Source organism: Homo sapiens, chromosome 21, assembly GCF_000001405.40.
Source record: "Homo sapiens chromosome 21, GRCh38.p14 Primary Assembly".
Lineage (NCBI taxonomy): Eukaryota > Metazoa > Chordata > Mammalia > Primates > Hominidae > Homo > Homo sapiens.
Window position 1 is genome coordinate 20,911,236 of NC_000021.9, and position 17,842 is coordinate 20,929,077.

The 17,842-nt window shown below is 36.5% G+C and overlaps 1 long non-coding RNA gene across 1 annotated transcript; it reads right to left on the reverse strand.

Annotated features, from left to right (window-relative positions):
* Positions 1 to 15,742: 15,742 nt before the first annotated feature.
* On the reverse strand, positions 15,743 to 16,610 carry LOC124905057 (uncharacterized). The gene is made up of 2 exons (XR_007067936.1): positions 16,128 to 16,610; positions 15,743 to 15,966 (listed from the first exon to the last, which is right to left on the reverse strand). It is a non-coding gene; the product is annotated as an uncharacterized LOC124905057 (long non-coding RNA).
* Between the last annotated feature and the right edge of the window lie 1,232 nt (positions 16,611 to 17,842).

Below are 17,842 nucleotides of genomic sequence, written 5' to 3' on the forward strand. Positions count from 1 at the left end.
TTCTCACTCTTTCACCCAGGCTGGAATGCAGTGGTACAATTTCAGCTCACTGCAACAACCTGTACCAACCGGGCCCAAGAGATCCTCTCACCTCAGCCTCCCATGTAGCTGAGACTACAGGCATGTGCCACCACACCTGACTAATTTGTGTATTTTTTGTAGAGATGAGGTCTCACCATGTTATCCTGGCTGGTCTTGAACTCCTGGGCTCAAGTGATCCTCCCACCTCGGCCTCCCAAAGTGCTAGGATTACAGGCATAAGCCACTGTGCCAGTCCTAGGGTTTAACTTTCTTATCAACACAGGAAACATAGAAGCTATAAAAGAAAAAAAGCATGCTTAGGTGTATAAAATTTAAAACTTTTGTAAGACAAAAGATATGACAATGAAAGCTAGGATATACAAATAAATAGAAACAATATTTGAAACTTAAGGATCAGATAAAAGATTAATGTGTTTACTGTATAAAAAGCATATGCAATTAAATCCAACCCAGAATACAAATGGGTAAATTATATGAAAAAATCACAAATAGCAAAACCATATAGCCAGTTAATAAATGATGTCGAATGGTGGCTCAATCTTCTTGATGGTTAAGGAAATAAAAACCAAATTCACAGTAAAATATCAGTATGCTTCCAGCTTACTACCAAAAAAGAAATAATTCAATAACATTTACATTTGGCAGAGATGGTGAGGGGCTGAGGACTATTTGAGATAGCTAAAAAAAGAGAGTTTAAAAAAATTAAATTTTTACGTAGGCATTTAAAAAATTATGTAAGTGTATCACACAAATGATTTTGCATCAAATAACATAGCATCTGCATCCATAACAACTCCATGGGACAAGGAAAAATAAAACCTGAGGGAATGGAAAAAGAAAACTTTAACCTTCACTATTCTATGACAAAACCAATGAGATAAAAATAGATATAAAAACAGCGAATCAGATCCAATTATAATATATTGTATTATACTTATTGAAAATAGAGATTAGACAGTCTTTTCAAATGTACATGAAACATTTAAACAGTGATTATATATTTTCCTTTAAAAATCAATATATTTCAAAAAGAAAAAATAGTACATAAAGCATTCTTTAATCTCAGTGGAATAAAACTGGACATTGTATTAGTCCATTCTTGCACTGCTATAAAGATATCCCTGAGATTGGGTAATTTATTAGGAAAAGAGGTTTAACTGGCTCCCAGTTCTACGGGTTGTACAGGAAGCATGATGCTGGCATCTGCTGGGATTCTGAGGAGGTCTCAAGAAACTTACAGTCATGGCAGAAGGCACAGGGGAAGCAGGCTTGTCTTACATGGCTGAAGCAGCAGTAAGAGCAAGAGAGGGCGTTGGTGCCACGTACTTCTAAAGGACCAAATCTCACAAAAACTCACTCACTATCACCAGAACAGCACTAAGGGGGAAATTCACCCCGATGATCCAATCACCTTCCATCAGGCCCCACCTCCAATACTGGGGATTTATGATTTGACATGAGATTTTGGTGAGGACACAGATCCAAACTGTATCAGACATGGATAACAAATCAGAAATACAAAAGCCCACCACACATGAAAATTGTTTGAAAATTCTTTTTCAAGTATCTTAAGTCAAAAGAAAATAAAAACTGAAATTTCATCTGGGATACGATAAAAGTAATTATCACAGGGACAATTGATATTTACAAAAGGTTATATTAAATTAAAAATAAAAATTAACATATAACTCGAAAGCTTAGGAAAAATACAAAATGAAGGTGGAAGAAAAAATAGAAATTAATAGATCAGCATCAAAATAGTGTTACATTTAGTACCTTAATTTTAAAGCCAGTTATTTAAGTAAAACACTAGAATAATTAAACAGCCATAATAATCAGAAATAAGAAAGAACATATAACGCAAATACACAATTATTATGAGAAAGTAACCACTTATATTTTAGATGTTTAAAGAAGCTTAGCAACAACTTTGCTGAAAACTACAAAAACAAATTGATATCCTGAATGAAACAGACAATTTTGTATGAACATATATTCCTCTAAGAACTTCTAGTAAAATAAAAATAATAACTATTTAAACCATTCATTAAAAAAGAGAATTTTTTCAATTCCACAAAACCCTCAAGGTGCAGATAGTATTCACATTTTGAGATAATATTGACATTTTAAGAAACATAAATTTCTACAGCTATTCAAACCATTTCGGAAAAGAAAAAGAAAGAATTTTTCATTTTTTTCTGAAGCTTGCATAGCATAGATGCCCAAATTCTTCAAGTTGTAAAAAAATAGAAAACAATAAACCAATTAATTAATATGTCAGAAAAATGCCAGGCATTGACAAATATAAACCAGAAGCATATTAAAACAATAATGACAAGGAACAATTTTTTTCTCCTCACCAATGCAAAATAGATTAATATTTGGCTAAGAAAATATACAAAATTTACATATCTGTCTATCCCATTTTAATAAAAATTTAACATCCATTCATAACAAAATAAAATCAATCAAATATGAATAAATAGTTCTGTAATGAAATTAAATTATTAGAAAATATGATAATGTGTATGAACAGACAGGTAAATGGGTGAAAATGGTACATCCAGAAATGTACCTAAATAGCTATAGGAATTTAGTATATGGTAAAGGTCAGGAAGTAGATTGTTATAAATGGAGGATAGTTTTCTGGAAAAACAAATAAACTCGAATTCCCTATCCATTCCAAATGGAAGAAAACTTGAAAGGTAGAAAATAGAGTCATAAAAGTGACAGAAGAAATCATGAGGATTGCTTCGTAATCTCATAGTGGATGAGACTTTCTTAACTATAACCAAATGGTGCAAAGCTAAAAATGACACGTTTGCCTACATGCAAATCAAACCGTTTATGACCTTACAAAAATCAAAATATTCTACATGAGAACACAAGTCATCAAAAGCAAGGACAATTTGTAAAATGATAAAATTATTTGTAACACATAACTGAGACAATTATGTAATTATAAAAACCTCCTTGGCCGGGCGCGGTGGCTCACACTTGTAATCCCAGCACTTTGGGAGGCCGAGGTGGGCGGATCACGAGGTCAGGAAATCGAGACCATCCTGGCTAACACGGTGAAACCCCGTCTCTACTAAAAATACAAAAAATTAGCCGGGCGTGGTGGCGGGCGCCTGTAGTCCCAGCTACTCGGGAGGCTGAGGCAGGAGAATGGCGCAAACCCGGGAGGCGGATCTTGCAGTGAGCCGAGATCAGGCCACTGCACTCCAGCCTGGGCGACTGAGGGAGACTCCGTCTCAAAAAAAAAGAAAAAGAAAAAAAAACCTCCTTCAAATTATTAAGAAATAGAAAAAGAAACCCAACAGAAAAAAATAGGCAAAAGGGTAAATAGTTTACAGAAGTGCAGACACAATTAGCTTTTAAACAAAGAAAACATGTTCAACCTCCTAATAACAAATAAATAAATGGAAAAAAACTGGTATGATTTTCCACCTATCAGATAGACAGAAACACCAGTGTTGGGTATTACTACGTTGACAGTATGTAGTAGAAGATGCACTCTCATATACTGGTGATGGAATTGCAAAACGCTGCAAACACTTCAAAGGCAAAACATCTTTATTCCTTTTGTTTCCACCTTTATTTTAGGTTCGGGGGTACATGTGCAGTTTTGTTACATGGGTAAATTGCATGTTGCTGAGGCTTAGTGTATGAATGATCCTTTCACCAAGATAGTGAGCATAAGAGCCCATAAGTAATATCCCAACTCATGCCTCTCTCCCACCCTCTCCCCTTAAACAGTCTGCGGTGCCAATTGTTCCCATCTTTGTGCCCACGTGTATTCAATGTTTAGCTCCCAATTATAGGTGAGAACCCTGTGGTACGGTATTGGATTTCTGTTCCTACATTAATTTACTTAGGATAAGGGCCTCCAATTGCATCCATGTTGCTGCAAAGAACATGATTTTGTTATATTTTGTGGCTGCATAGTAGCCCACGGTGTATACGTACCACATTTTCTTTATCCAGCCCACTGTTGATGAGCATCTTGGTTGAATGCGTGTCTTTGCTACTGTGAATAGCATTGTGATGAACATACACGTGCATGTGCCTTTTTGATGGAACAATTTATTTTTCTTTGGTATATACCCAGTAGTGAGATTGCTGGGTCAAGTGGTAGTTGTTTTCAGTTCTTCAAGAAATCTTCACACTGCTTTCCACAGTAGCTAGACTAATATACATTCCCACCAGCAGTGTATAAGTGTTTCCTTTTCTCTGCAGCCTTGCCAGCATCTGTTGTTTTTGACTTCTTGATCATAGCCACTGTGATTGGTGTGGGATGGTTTCCCATGGTGATTTTGATTTGCATTTCTCTAATGATTGGTGGGGATGAGCATTTTTTCATATATTTGTTGGCCACATGTACATTTTCTTTTCAGAAGTTTCTGTTCATGTCCTTTATTCATTTTTCAATGGGGTTATTTATGTTATTTTGCTTGCTGGTTTAAATTCTTTACAGATTCTCGATATTAGACTTTTGTTGAATGCATACTTTGTGAATATGTTCTCCCATTTTGTAGGTTGTCTGTTTGTTTGATTAATAGTTTATTTTCTTGTGTAGAAGCTCTTTTGTTTAATTAGGTCCACTTGTCAATTTTTGTTTTTGTTGCAATTGCTTACGGGAACTTAGTCATAAATTCTTTGCCAGGGCCAATTTTTGGAATGGTTTTTCCTAGGTTTTCTTCTACAGTTTCTATTGTTTTCAATCTTACATTTAAGTCTTTACTACATTTTGATTTAATTTTTGTATATGATGAAAGGTAGGGGTACAGTTTCAATCTTCTGCATATGGCAAGCTAGTTACTCCAGCACCATTTATTGAATAGGTAGTCCTTTCCCCATTGTTATTTTCAACCTAGAATTAATGAATAAATTCCTGGAAACACACAGACTCCTAAGATTGAACCAGAAAGAAATTACAGACCAATAACATACTCCAAAATGGAATCAATAATGACAAGCCAGCCATGCCAAAAAACAAAAACAAAAACAACCATGGACCAGAAGGATTAACAGCCAAATTCTACCAAATGTATAAAGAAAACCTAGTACCAATCCTACTGAAATTATTCCAAAAACCCAAGGAGTAGGGGCTCCTCCATAAATCATTCTATGAAGCCAGCATTATTCTAATACCAAAGCCTGGCAAAGACACAATGGAAAAAAGAAAATTTCAGGCCAATATCCCTGCTGAAGATAGACCCAAAAATTCTCAACAAAATTTAGGATCTAGAAGCACATCAAAATTTAATTCACCATGAATCAATAGGCTTAATTCCTGAGATGCAAGGTTGGTTCAATATATGAAAATCAATAAATGCTATTCACCATATAAACAGGATTAGCAACAAAAATTTCATGATCATCTCAATAAACACAGAAAAGGCCTTCAGTAAAATTCAATATCCCTTCATGTTAATAACCCCCAACAAATCAGACATTAAGGGAACATACCTCAAAATAGTAAAAGCCATCTATAACAAACCCACATTCAACACCATACTAAATAGAGAAAAGCTGGAAGCATTCCCTTTGAGATGTGGAACAAAACAAAAATGCCCAGTTTCACCACTCCTATTCAACATATTATTGGAAGTCCTTGCCAGAGCAATCAGGCAAGAGAAAAAAAATAAAAGAATTTCAAATAGGAAGAGAGGAAGTTGAACTATTTCTCTTTGCAGACAGTATAATTCTATACATAGAAAACCTCATAGACCCCACCAGAAGGATTTTAGAACTTATAAACAACTTCAGTAAAGTTTCAAGATACACAATCAACGTCCAGAAATTAGTAGCTTGTCTATACACCAATAACATCCAAGCTTAGAGCCAAATCAAGAATGCAATATCATTTATAATAGCCATAAAGAAAATGAAATACCTAGGAATACAGCTACCCAAAGAGGTAAAAGAGCTCTACAAGGGGAGCTACAAAACACTGCTGAAAGAAACCAGAGAGAACACAGACAAATGGAGAAACATTCCATGCTCATGAATAGGAAGAATCAATATCATTAAAATGGCCATACTGCCCAAAGCAATTTACAGACTGAATGTTATTCCTACCAAACTACCAATGTCATTTTTGAGATAACTAGAAAAAACTATTCTAAAATTCATATGAAACCATAAAAGAGCCTACATCACCAAACCAATGGAAAAGACACATAGACCAATGGAAGAAGATATAGAACCCAGAAAAAAGTCACAGACCTACAATTACTTGATCTTCAAAAAAAAAATATCTTTCAAAACAACAAATACACCCTTTGACTCAGGCAAAACCCATTGGGGAGTGTATAGTTAAATTATACTTACAGTTTTGAAAGGATACATGAGCATATCAACAGAAGTAAAGACAGAGTAGAAGGGATATAGGAATAAACTGCATGTAACTACAGAAAAGACAGGGAAATAATGAGGAAATCAGAAAAAATAAGCTCCAAAATATTGCTAAAGGAAAATGGAAGGATAATGACTATTGTATATAGTATGCTTTTTTATATAAAAATACAAATATATGTATCTATGTACCCATCATCCATCCATCTATTATCTATCTATCCATGAATGTCAATAAAATATCTCTGAAAAAAACCATAAAAGAATAGATCTTTATTTACCTTTTGAATTTTAATGTGTCACCTCATTAAAATTAGGAAGGAAGTCAATAAAATTTAGTCAAAACTTTTTATATAATTTTTTTCTAGATTGAGCAAATGAAATGCAATACAAATGATTTCTCTTTCAATGACATTACAGATTATTGCTTGATGATAGTTGTGCATCCAATTCTGCCAAGAATATGTTCCTCATATTTCATATGCTTTATTCCTAGAGTTTCATATGGGAATAGGAAAACAGCAAGTGCAGATGTTGAATCAGATATAGGGAGACACAGAGTCACCTTGAGACATGTGAAGCCAAGGGTGAGCCTACAGGCCTCTAGATCTTAGGGTTGACTTATCAAGCCGAAGAAGTGTGACTGTGTGACTTAGTCCTAGTCACATGTCCTCTCCAACAACTTCAGTTTCTCCATCCGATAATGAAGATTATACCCCGCCCCCAACCCACACACATAGTCAAATCAATGTCGAGCTTGTAGGGAGGCTGAGCAGTATCCCAGTGAGTTATAGCAGTCAGAGGCCCTGAGGAGGCAGAGAAGAGCAGGAAAGAGCTGAACGTGAAAGCTCAGGAATCCATTAGGCAGTGCAAATTTAAGTATAAGAAACTGGAGAGTTGGGCTGGGTGTGGTGGCTCACGCCTGTAATCCCAGCACTTTGGGAGGCCATGGCAGGCAGATCACGAGGTCAGGAGATCAAGACCATCCTGGCCAACATGGTGAAAACCCGTCTCTACTGAAATACAAAAAATTAGCCAGGCGTGGTGGCATGCGACTATAGTCCCAGCTACTCAGGAGGCTGAGGCAGGGGAATCACTCGAACCTGGGAGGCAGAGATTGCAGCTACCCAAGATCGCACCACTGCATTCCAGCCTGATGACAGAGCAAGACCACATCTGAAAAAAAAAAAAGAAAAGAAAAGAAAAGAAAAGAAAAGAAAAGAAATTGGAAAGTTGGAGAAACAATCTGAAATTCTTGATTAACTGACAGACAAGAATAATCAGGTATAAAAGTCAAATTCCTAAGGAATGGTTTTTTAATGACCAACAATTCATTTACCCATCTTTCGAGCAAACACTTGGGTGTCAAAGAATCTTTGTCTTGGCAATTTCAAAGTTAAAAAATCATATATACACATAATTTTTCTATCAAGTAGCTGATAAAATATAATTATATATACAATTATAATTAACATTTAATTATAATTATATATAATTATATATACTTTATATATATAATTATATATTATATATTATATACATATATATACAGTATATATATATGCATGTATTATCTTTTTAAAGCCTCTTTAATAGCTTAGCATTCCATGGCTTTTCACCGTTGATCCTCAAAATAGATTCCCCGTTTTAACTACAAATTCTCTAAATTGATATTATTCTTTAGTACTTTAAAGAAAATTACTACATATTTATTACATCACATGACTTTTCCTTCAATGCATGCATTTTTTCTCACCTTTTATTATTTTTGATATAATATATTGTTCTACATTATGTGTTTGAAAGCTGTGTTTTCTGCTTTCAATGCTACATGAATTAATGTAAAATATACCAATCTAAAATGTAACATGTTACAACAATTACATTTATCACATGAAGCCATAAAAAAGTTATATTTATTATTCACCTAAGAAATATTTTATAAACATGTGCCTGCAGGAGCCCAGTATTTTGTATACTAAGAAGCAAATGTGAATTACTGAAAGGCAGACAACTGTGAAAATATTTTTCTCTTATGATTGAGTTCTGTTCACATCACTGATTTATTTGTAGCATAAAGATAAAGAAGAATTCAAAATCCATATCAAATGAGAATCAACTGGATCTAGTTAAGGTGAAAAACAAAAAGTATTTAATAAACAAATTGTTTCAAGGACACACAAAAAAACAGGAGAAAATTCTCATGAGATTTACTTCTTTTATTCATTTTGTAAATTGAGTACTAATCTTCTTTGTATATATACCACATTCTTAGAAAACAATGGTTTCATTTCAAAGTGTGGGCTTTTTTTCGTTTAAATTTGAATGTATAAAAGTTTTTAGGGCCTTATTTTCACAAAGATACTTCAGCAGAGTTAAATATATGATAAATATCCAACGAATTCCTATTTTACTCAGATTTTTTGAAATGTGTAGCTTCTACATGAGGAGGTCAATATGTCAATATTATGAGAAGAATTGTGATATGATTGGAGATCAACCATTTTGAGTCAAACTCCCCAACAGCTTCAATTTCTCTATTTAAGAGTGAAGATGAGAATATCATAGGTAGATCAATGATAGATAGATAGATAGATAGATAGATAGATAGATAGATGAGATATACACACACACACTCAAATCAATGTCAAGTACATAAGCAACTATAAAGAGGCTATAACAATAACAATCAAAAAATTGGCAAATATTCATTAAATGCCAGTTATGTGTCAGGCATATTATTATAATAGTCACTATTATTTTGGCATAAATTAACATTTTACACAAAATAGATGTCACTTTTTAAAGGTATTATCAGTGAGAATTTCCTTTTGGAAAAGCTAGGGAGTTTATTTTTATGAGAACTCTTAAGAATATCAATTGTGTTTTAGCAAATAAATTGTTCTGGGCATCCAAATTCAAAGTAAAATGTGAAAGATTTGATAATTCATTGAATTATAATCAACAAATTATGTCCAGAAGACATAAAGGAAGGGAAGAGCAAATTGGAAGCAGTAAGTATGGTAGTTGTTGAAGAAATAAGCAAATGCACGTTGGACTGAAATGTTAAGCACTGATTACTGGAAACAATATGGAAGTTAATTAATTTCTTTAGAATATTGTTAAAATGATTCAGATTACAGAGGAACAGTGGGTAAATTTTAGTATTTTTTTGTTATATTTTAAGTTCTGGGAAACATGTGCAGAACGTGCATGTTTGTTACATAGATATACACGTGCCACGGTGGTTTGCTGCATCCAGCAACCTGTCATCTACATTAGGTATATCTCCTAATGCTATCCCTCCCCTAGCCCCCGACACCAGACAGGCCCCAGTGTGTGATGTTCCCCTCCCTGTGTCCATGTGTTCTCATTGTTCAACTCCCACTTATGAGTGAGAACATGTGGTGTTTGGTTTTCTGTTTCTGTGTTAGTTTGCTGAGAATGATGATTTACAGCTTCATCCATGTCCCTACAAAGGAATGAACTCATCCTTTTCTGTGGCTGCATAGTATTCCATGGTGTATATGTGCCCATATTATTAATGGGCATTTGGGTTGGTTCCAAGTCTTTGCTATTGTGAATAGTGCTACAAGAAACATATGTGTGCATAAGTCTTTATAGTAGGATGATTTATAATCCTTTAGGTATCTACTCAGTAATGGGATTGCTGGGTCAAATGGTATTTCTTGTTCTAGATCCTTGATGAATCACCACACTGTCTTCCACAATGGTTGAACTAATTTACACTCCCACACACTGTGTAAAAGTCTTCCTATTTCTCCACATACTCTCCAGCATCTGTTGTTTCCTGACATTTTTAATAATCGCCATTATAACTGGCATGAGATGGTATCTCATTGTGGTTTTGATTTGTATTTCTCTAATGACCAGTGACTCTGAGATTATTTTCATACGTTTTTTGGCCACATAAATGTCTTCTTTTGAGAAGTGTCTGTTCATATCCTCCCACTTTTTGATGGAGTTGTTTTTTTCTTGTAAATTTGTTTAAGTTCCTTGTAGATTCTGGATAATAGCCCTTTGTCAGATGGATAGATTGCAAAAACTTTCTCCCATTCTGTAGGTTGCCTATTCACTCTGATGATAGTTTCTTTTGCTGTGCAGAAGCTCCTTAGTTTAGAGTTGCTGGCAAGATGGCTGAATAGGAATAGCTCCGGTCTGCAGCTTATGGCGAGATCAACACAGAAGACGGGTGATTTCTGCATTTCCAACTGTGGTACCCGGCTCATCTCTTTGGGACTGGTTAGACAGTGAGTGCAGCCCACAGAGGGTGAGCCAAAGCAGGGTGGGGCATCACCTCACCCTCCAGGAAGTACAAGAGGTTGGGGAACTCCCTCCCTTAGCCAAAGGAAGCCATGAAGTACTGTGCCCTGAGGAACCGTGCGCTCCAGCCCAGATACTATGTTCTTCCCACGGCCTTCACAACCCACAGACCAGGAGATTCCCTCGGGTGCCTACACCACCAGGGTCATGGGTTTCAAGCACAAACTGGGTGGCCATTTGGACAGAAACTGAGCTAGGTGCAGGAGTTTTTTTTGTTTTGTTTTTTTTCATACCCCAGTGGCACCTGGAACGCTAACAAGATAGAACCGTTCACTTCCCTGGGAAGAGGGCTGAAGCTTCACCAGAGAGCCAACTGGTCTAGCTCAGCAGATCCCACCTCCACAGAGCCCAGCAAGCTAAGACCCACTGGCTTGAAATTCTCGCTGCCAGAACAGCAGTCAGAAGTTGACCTGGAATGCTCCAGCTTGGTGGGAAGAGGGGTGTCCGCCATTACTGAGGCTTGAATAGGTGGCTTTTCTCTCACAGTGTAAACAAAACCACTGGGAAGTTCAAACTGGGCAGAGCTCACCACAGCTCAGCAAAACCAATGTAGCCAGACTGCCTCTCTAGATTCCTCCTCTCTGAGCAGGGCATCTCTGAAAGAAAGGCAGCAGCCCTAATCAGGGGCTTATAGATAAGACTCCCATTTCCCTGGGACAGAGCACCTGGGGGAAGGGACAGCTGTGGGCACAGCTTCAGCAGACTTAAACATTTCTGCCTGCTGGCTCTGAAGACAGCAGCGGATCTCCCAGTATAGTGCTGAAGCTCTGCTAAGGGACAGACTGCCTCCTCAAGTAGGTCCCTGTCTCCTGACTGGGAGACATCTCCCAGAAGTGGTTGACAGATATCTCATACAGAAAAGCTCCAGCTGGCATTTGGTGGGTTCCCCTCTGGGACGAAGCTTCCAGAGGAAGGAACAGGCAGCAATCTTTGCTCTTCTGCAGCCTCTGCTGGTGATACCCAAGCAAACAGGGTCTGGAGTGGACCTCCAGCAAACTCCAGCAGACCTGCAGCAGAGGGCCATGACTGTTAGAAGGAAAACTAACAAACAGAAAGGAATAGCATCAATGTCAACAAAAAGGATGTCCACACAGAAATCCCATTTGAAGGCAACCAACATCAAAGACCGAAGGTAGATAAATCCACGATGATGAGGAAAAACCTGCACAAAAAGGCTGAAAATTCCGAAAACCAGAACACCTTATCTCCTCCAAAGGATCACAACTCCTCGCCAGCAAGGGAACAAAACTGGACAGAGAATGAGTTTGATGAATTGACACAAGTAGGCTTCAGAAGGTGGGTAATAACAAACTCCTCTGAGCTAAAGAAGTGTGTTCTAACCCAATGCAAGGAGGCTAGGAAACTTGAAAAAAAGTTAGAGGAATTGCTAACTAGAAAAACCCATTTAGAGAAGAACATAAATGACATGATGGAGCTGAAAAACACAGCACGAGAACTTCGTGAAGCATACATGAATATCAATAGCCAAATCGATCAAGCGGAAGAAAGGATATCACAGATTGAAGAGCAACTTAATGAAATAAAGCATGAAGACAATGATAGAGAAAAAAGAATGAAAAGGAATGAACAAAGCCTCCAAGAAATATGGGACTACATGAAAAGATCAACCTTATGTTTGATTGGTGTACCTGAAAGTGAGGGGGAGAATGGAACCAAGTAGGAAAACACTGTTAGGATATTATCCAGGAGAACTTGCCCAGCCTAGCAAGACAGGCCAACATTCAGAATCGGGAAATATAGAGAACACCACAAAGATACTCCTCAAGAAGAGCAACCCCAAGACACACAATCGTCAGATTCACCAAGGTTGAAGTGAAGGAAAAAATGTTAAGAGCAGTCAGAGAGAAAGGTCGGGTTACCCACAAAGGGAAGCCCATCAGACTAACACTGGATCTCTCTGCAGAAACCCTACAGCCAGAAGAGAGTGGGGGCCAATATTCAACATTCTTAAAGAAAAGAATTTTCAACCCAGAATTTCATATCCAGCCAAACTAAGCTTCATAAGTGAAGAAGAAATAAAATCCTTTACAGACAAGCAAATGCTGAGCAATTTTGTTTCCACCAAGCCTGCTTTACAAGAGCTCCTGAAGGAAGCACTAAATATGGAAAGGAAAAATGGGTACCAGCTACAGCAAAAACATACCAAATTGTAAAGACCATCGACACGATGAAGAAACTGCATCAACTAATGGGCAAAATAACCAGCTAGCATCATAATGACAGAATCAAATTCACACATAACAATATTAACCTTAAATGTAAATGGGCTAAATGCCCCAATTAAAAGACAAAGACTGGCAGATTGGATAGAGTCAAGACCCATTGGTATGCTGTATTCAGGAGACCCATCTCACATGCAAAGAAAAATATAGACTCAAAATAAAGGGATGGAGGAATATTTACCTAGCAAATGAAAAGCAAAAAAAAGTAGGGGTTGCAATCTTAGTCTCTGATAAAACAGACTTTAAACCAACAAAAATCAAAAGAGACAAAGAAGGGCATTACATAATGGTAAAGGGATCAATGCAACAAGAAGAGCTAATTATCCTAAATATATATGCACCCAATACAGGAGCACCAAGCTTCATGAAGCAAGTTCTTAGAGACCCACAAAGAGACTTAGACTCCCACATAATAATAGTGGGAGAATTTAACACCCCACTGTCAATATTAGACAGATCAACAAAACAGAAAATTAACAAGGATATTCAGGAGTTGAACTCAGCTTTGGACCAAGCAGACCTAATAGACATCTACAGAACTCTCCACCCCAAAACAACAGAATATACATTCTTCTCAGCACGACATCACACTTATTCTAAAATTGACCACATAATTAAAAGTGAAACATGCCTCAGCAAATGCAAAAGAATGTAAATCATAACAAACAGTCTCTCAGACCACAGTGCAATCGAATTAGAACTCAGGATTAAGAAACTGAGTTCTACATGGAAACTACATGGAAACTGAACAACCTGCTCCTCAATGACTATGGGGTAAATAACGAAATTAAGGCAGAAATAAAGAAGATCTTTTAAACCAATGAAAACAAAGACACAGTGTACCAAAATCTCTAGGACACAACTAAAGCAGTGTTTAGAGGGAAATTTATAGCACTAAATGTCCACAGGAGAAAGCAGGAAAGATCTAAAGTCTACACCCAGAAGCAAGAGCAAACAAATTCAAAAGGTAGCAGAAGACAAGAAATAACTAAGATCAGAGCAGAACTGAAGGAGATAGAGACACGAAAAATACTTTAAAAAAATCAGTGAATCCAGGAACTGGCTTTTTGAAAAGATTAACAAAATAGACCACTAGCCAGACTGATAAAGAAGAAAAGAGAGAAGAATCAAATAGATACAATTAAAAAATGATAAAGGGGATATCACCACTGATCCCACAGAAATACAAACTACCATCAGAGACTGCTATAAACACCTCTATGCAAATAAACTAGAAAATCTAGAAGAAATGGATAAATTCCTGGACACATACACCCCCCCAAAACTAAACCAGGAAAAAGTTGAATCCCTGAATATACCAATAACAAGTTCTGAAATTGAGGCAGCAATTAATAGCCTACCAACCAAAAAAATCCCAGGACCAGATGGATTCAGAGCCAAATTCTACCAGAGGTACAAAGAGGTCCTGGTACCATTCCTTCTGAAACGATTCCAGACAATAGAAAAAGAGGAACTCCTCCCTAACTCATTTTAGGAGGTCAGCATCATCTGGATATCAAAACATGGCAAAGACACAACAAACAAAGAAAATTTCAGGCCAATATCCCTGATGAACATCGATGTGAAAATCCTCAATAAAATACTGGCAAACCAAATCCAGCAGCACATCAAAAAGCTAATCCACCACGTTCAAGTTGGCTTCATCCCTGGGATGCAAGGCTGGTTCAACATATGTAAATCAATAAATGCAATTTGTCACATAAACAGAACCAATGACAAAAAACCACATGATTATCTCAATAGATGCAGAAAAGGCCTTCGATAAAATTCAACACCTCTTCATGCTAAAAACTCAATAAATTAGGTATTGATGGAATGTATCTCAAAATAATAAGAGCTATTTGTGACAAACTCACAGCCAATATCATATAGAATGAGCAAAAGCTGGAAGCATTCCCTTAAAAACTGGCACAAAGACAAGGATGCCATCCCTCACCACTCCTATTCAATTTCAGTATTTTTGAAGGCATTTCACACAATAGCAATGTTAATATATGTGCAAATTTAACAATAATAAGTTAGTAAGGTACAACCACATGTATAGAATTTTGGCATAGAAGATTGGGAATTACCATTGCTAAAATAAAGTATAGCTAAGAGTATAATGTAAATTACAAACAACTTTCTTCACTACAGTATAAGTTAAGCTTAATGGTGGAACAAATTTTAAATAGTATCTTTAAGAACTTTAATAAAACAACAAATAATACATAAAATACATTAAAATTTACATGTTATATATTTTGAACTAGTTTAGTGAAAATATATAAACAAATCACTGGTATACTGTGATGTGTGCATAATTGTGTGTGTGTGTGTGTGTGTGTGTGTGTAAGCCTTCTTGTATATCCATCATTAAATGTTAACAAATATTTTGTCTAATCCACATATTTTGACAAGATAGCATAACATAATAATATGATATTTTATCCATATAAAGTTTCAGTTTCTGAAATACAGATGAAAACTACTATCTTGATGTAAATTTGAGTAGAAATTCCTCCATATTGAGCTCTTGGAAGGCTTCCTTCTGTGGTTATAATCAATCAATGAAGAACATTCCCCAACTGGAGTGCACATAACTGAGATCTCTACATGTGTAATGAAATAACAACCAAATGTACATTTGTGATTCTCTATACAAGTGTATATTCATCACCGTAAGTGTTACACTTTAATACCCATTGTGTGATTTTCAAGACTGACTTCTGAGAAGACGATAAAAAAAGAAATTGCTCTAATAGAACATTTATTCTGGAACAAAGTAAGGGTTATTGGTTTTTTGCTTCTTTTTCATTCATATTCTGCAGCCTTTACCAAGTCACCTCTACTTTTCCCAAGCCTCTTGTTTTTCTGTGAGGTCCTCTTTATGGCGAGTAGTCTAGCCATAGAAGGCTAGTCGAATGTCTAGCATGGCATTTGCGATGTCACAGGTTTCCTTTCTCCTCTGAAGAATCTAATGAAAGGGCAAGTCGTTCTTTAGTACAAACATTTCTAATCTATTTAATTATAATAATAAAGTGAATCATAGTGGAATAAGTGAGAGACAGGACTAGTTGGATTTCCTAGGCTGACTAAGAATTCATAAGCCTAGCTGGGGAAGGTGACCACACCTACCTTTAAACATGGGGCTTGTAACTCAGCTCACACCTGACCAATCAAGTAGTAAAGAGGACTCAGTAAAATACAAATTAGGCTAAAAGCAGGAGGTAAAGAAATAGTCAAATCATCTATCAGCTGAGAGCACAGGGGGAGCAACAATGATGGGGATATAAACCCAGGCATTTGAGCAGGGAGCGGCAACCCGCTTTGGATCCCCTCCAATCGCATGGGAGCTCTGTTTTCACTCTATTAAATCTTGCAACTGTACACTCTTCTGGTCAGTGTTTTTTACAGCTCTAGCTGAGCTTCTGCTTGCAGTCCACCACTGCTGATGGTTGTCATCGCAGACCCGCGGCTGATGTCCACCACTCCAGATCCGGCAGGGTGTCCTCTGTGCTCCTGATCCAGCGAGGCGCCCATTGCCACTCCCAACCAGGCTAAAGGCTTGCCATTGTTGCTGCACAGCTAAGTGCCCGGGCTCGTCCTGCTCGAGCTGAACACTGGTTGCTGGGTTCCACGGTTCTCTTCTGTGACCCACGGCTTCTAATAGAGCTATAACACTGCATGGCCCAAGATTCCATTCCTTGGAATCCGTGAGGCCAAGAACCCCAGGTCAGAGAACAAAAGACTTGCTGCCATCTTGGGAGCAGCCTGCCCCATCTTAGGAGCCCTAAGAACAAAGATCGTCCAGTAACATAAGCACTTTTAATTCACCCATAGCTTTTATTATAAAATATTTAATAACATAATAACTTTGTATCAACTTAAAAAGTGCAGTGCTATACAATTTAGAAATAAACTTTAGTTTCTCGGTTTACTTAACAGTTCACTCTTTTTAACTTAAAATATCCTCTAAAATCTCTATGATTCAGAGATGCTGAGTATTATATTTCAGCTGGAAAGAATTTAAAACTATTTATGAAAATCTATTTAAATAAATTTAGTAAGTTCAATTGCCAAAATGAAGAAGGTTGCAAAATAAACAGCTTAGATGCTTATTCTATGAATAATTTTAGCTTTGTCTTCAAGGGCTATGTTTTAAACATCGTTTTGTGGATACTCAGCAATCCGTTTTGATTTAGTCATTTATTGGTGATTACCTCTTGATTCATCAAAGTAGAAATCCTGGTTGGTTCTGGAGTGCTTCATTTATGCAAAATTTGGTTAAGTCAAAAAGGACCATTCTTGCAGCGTGGTTACCATCAACCTTATTAGCCTCATATGTTTAGGAAAATTACCTGTTTCATGGCTAAAATTTTTGCAAATTATTACACCCATGTGAAATCATATGAAATATACAGTGGTATGTGTGGGGATACAGGGAGACTTATCTGGATCATGGTGACCAACATATAAATATTAGCTATTTCAGTGAGCCTCCACAGATTCAACAGATGTATTTTAACAAGTTGTACTGACATTAGTATTATATATAACATTATATGTAATATATAATGATATATATGATGTCATACATCTAACCAAATAAAACAAAGTAATTATAAATAGAGATAGAGAGAGGGAATGTACTCAAAATAGAATGAAAAGTAGGTGTAGAAAAAAATCAATGAAATCAGAAATCTCCATTTGGCAATCATGTTAGTAATAATTAACTCAAACATCTATGGATGTTATCACTAGTATACAAAAGTTGGATGAACATTGAAATACTTGCATAGTTTTAAAGTACTTCCCTCCAGAATTCTTATCAATTATAAAGAGGGCAAGAG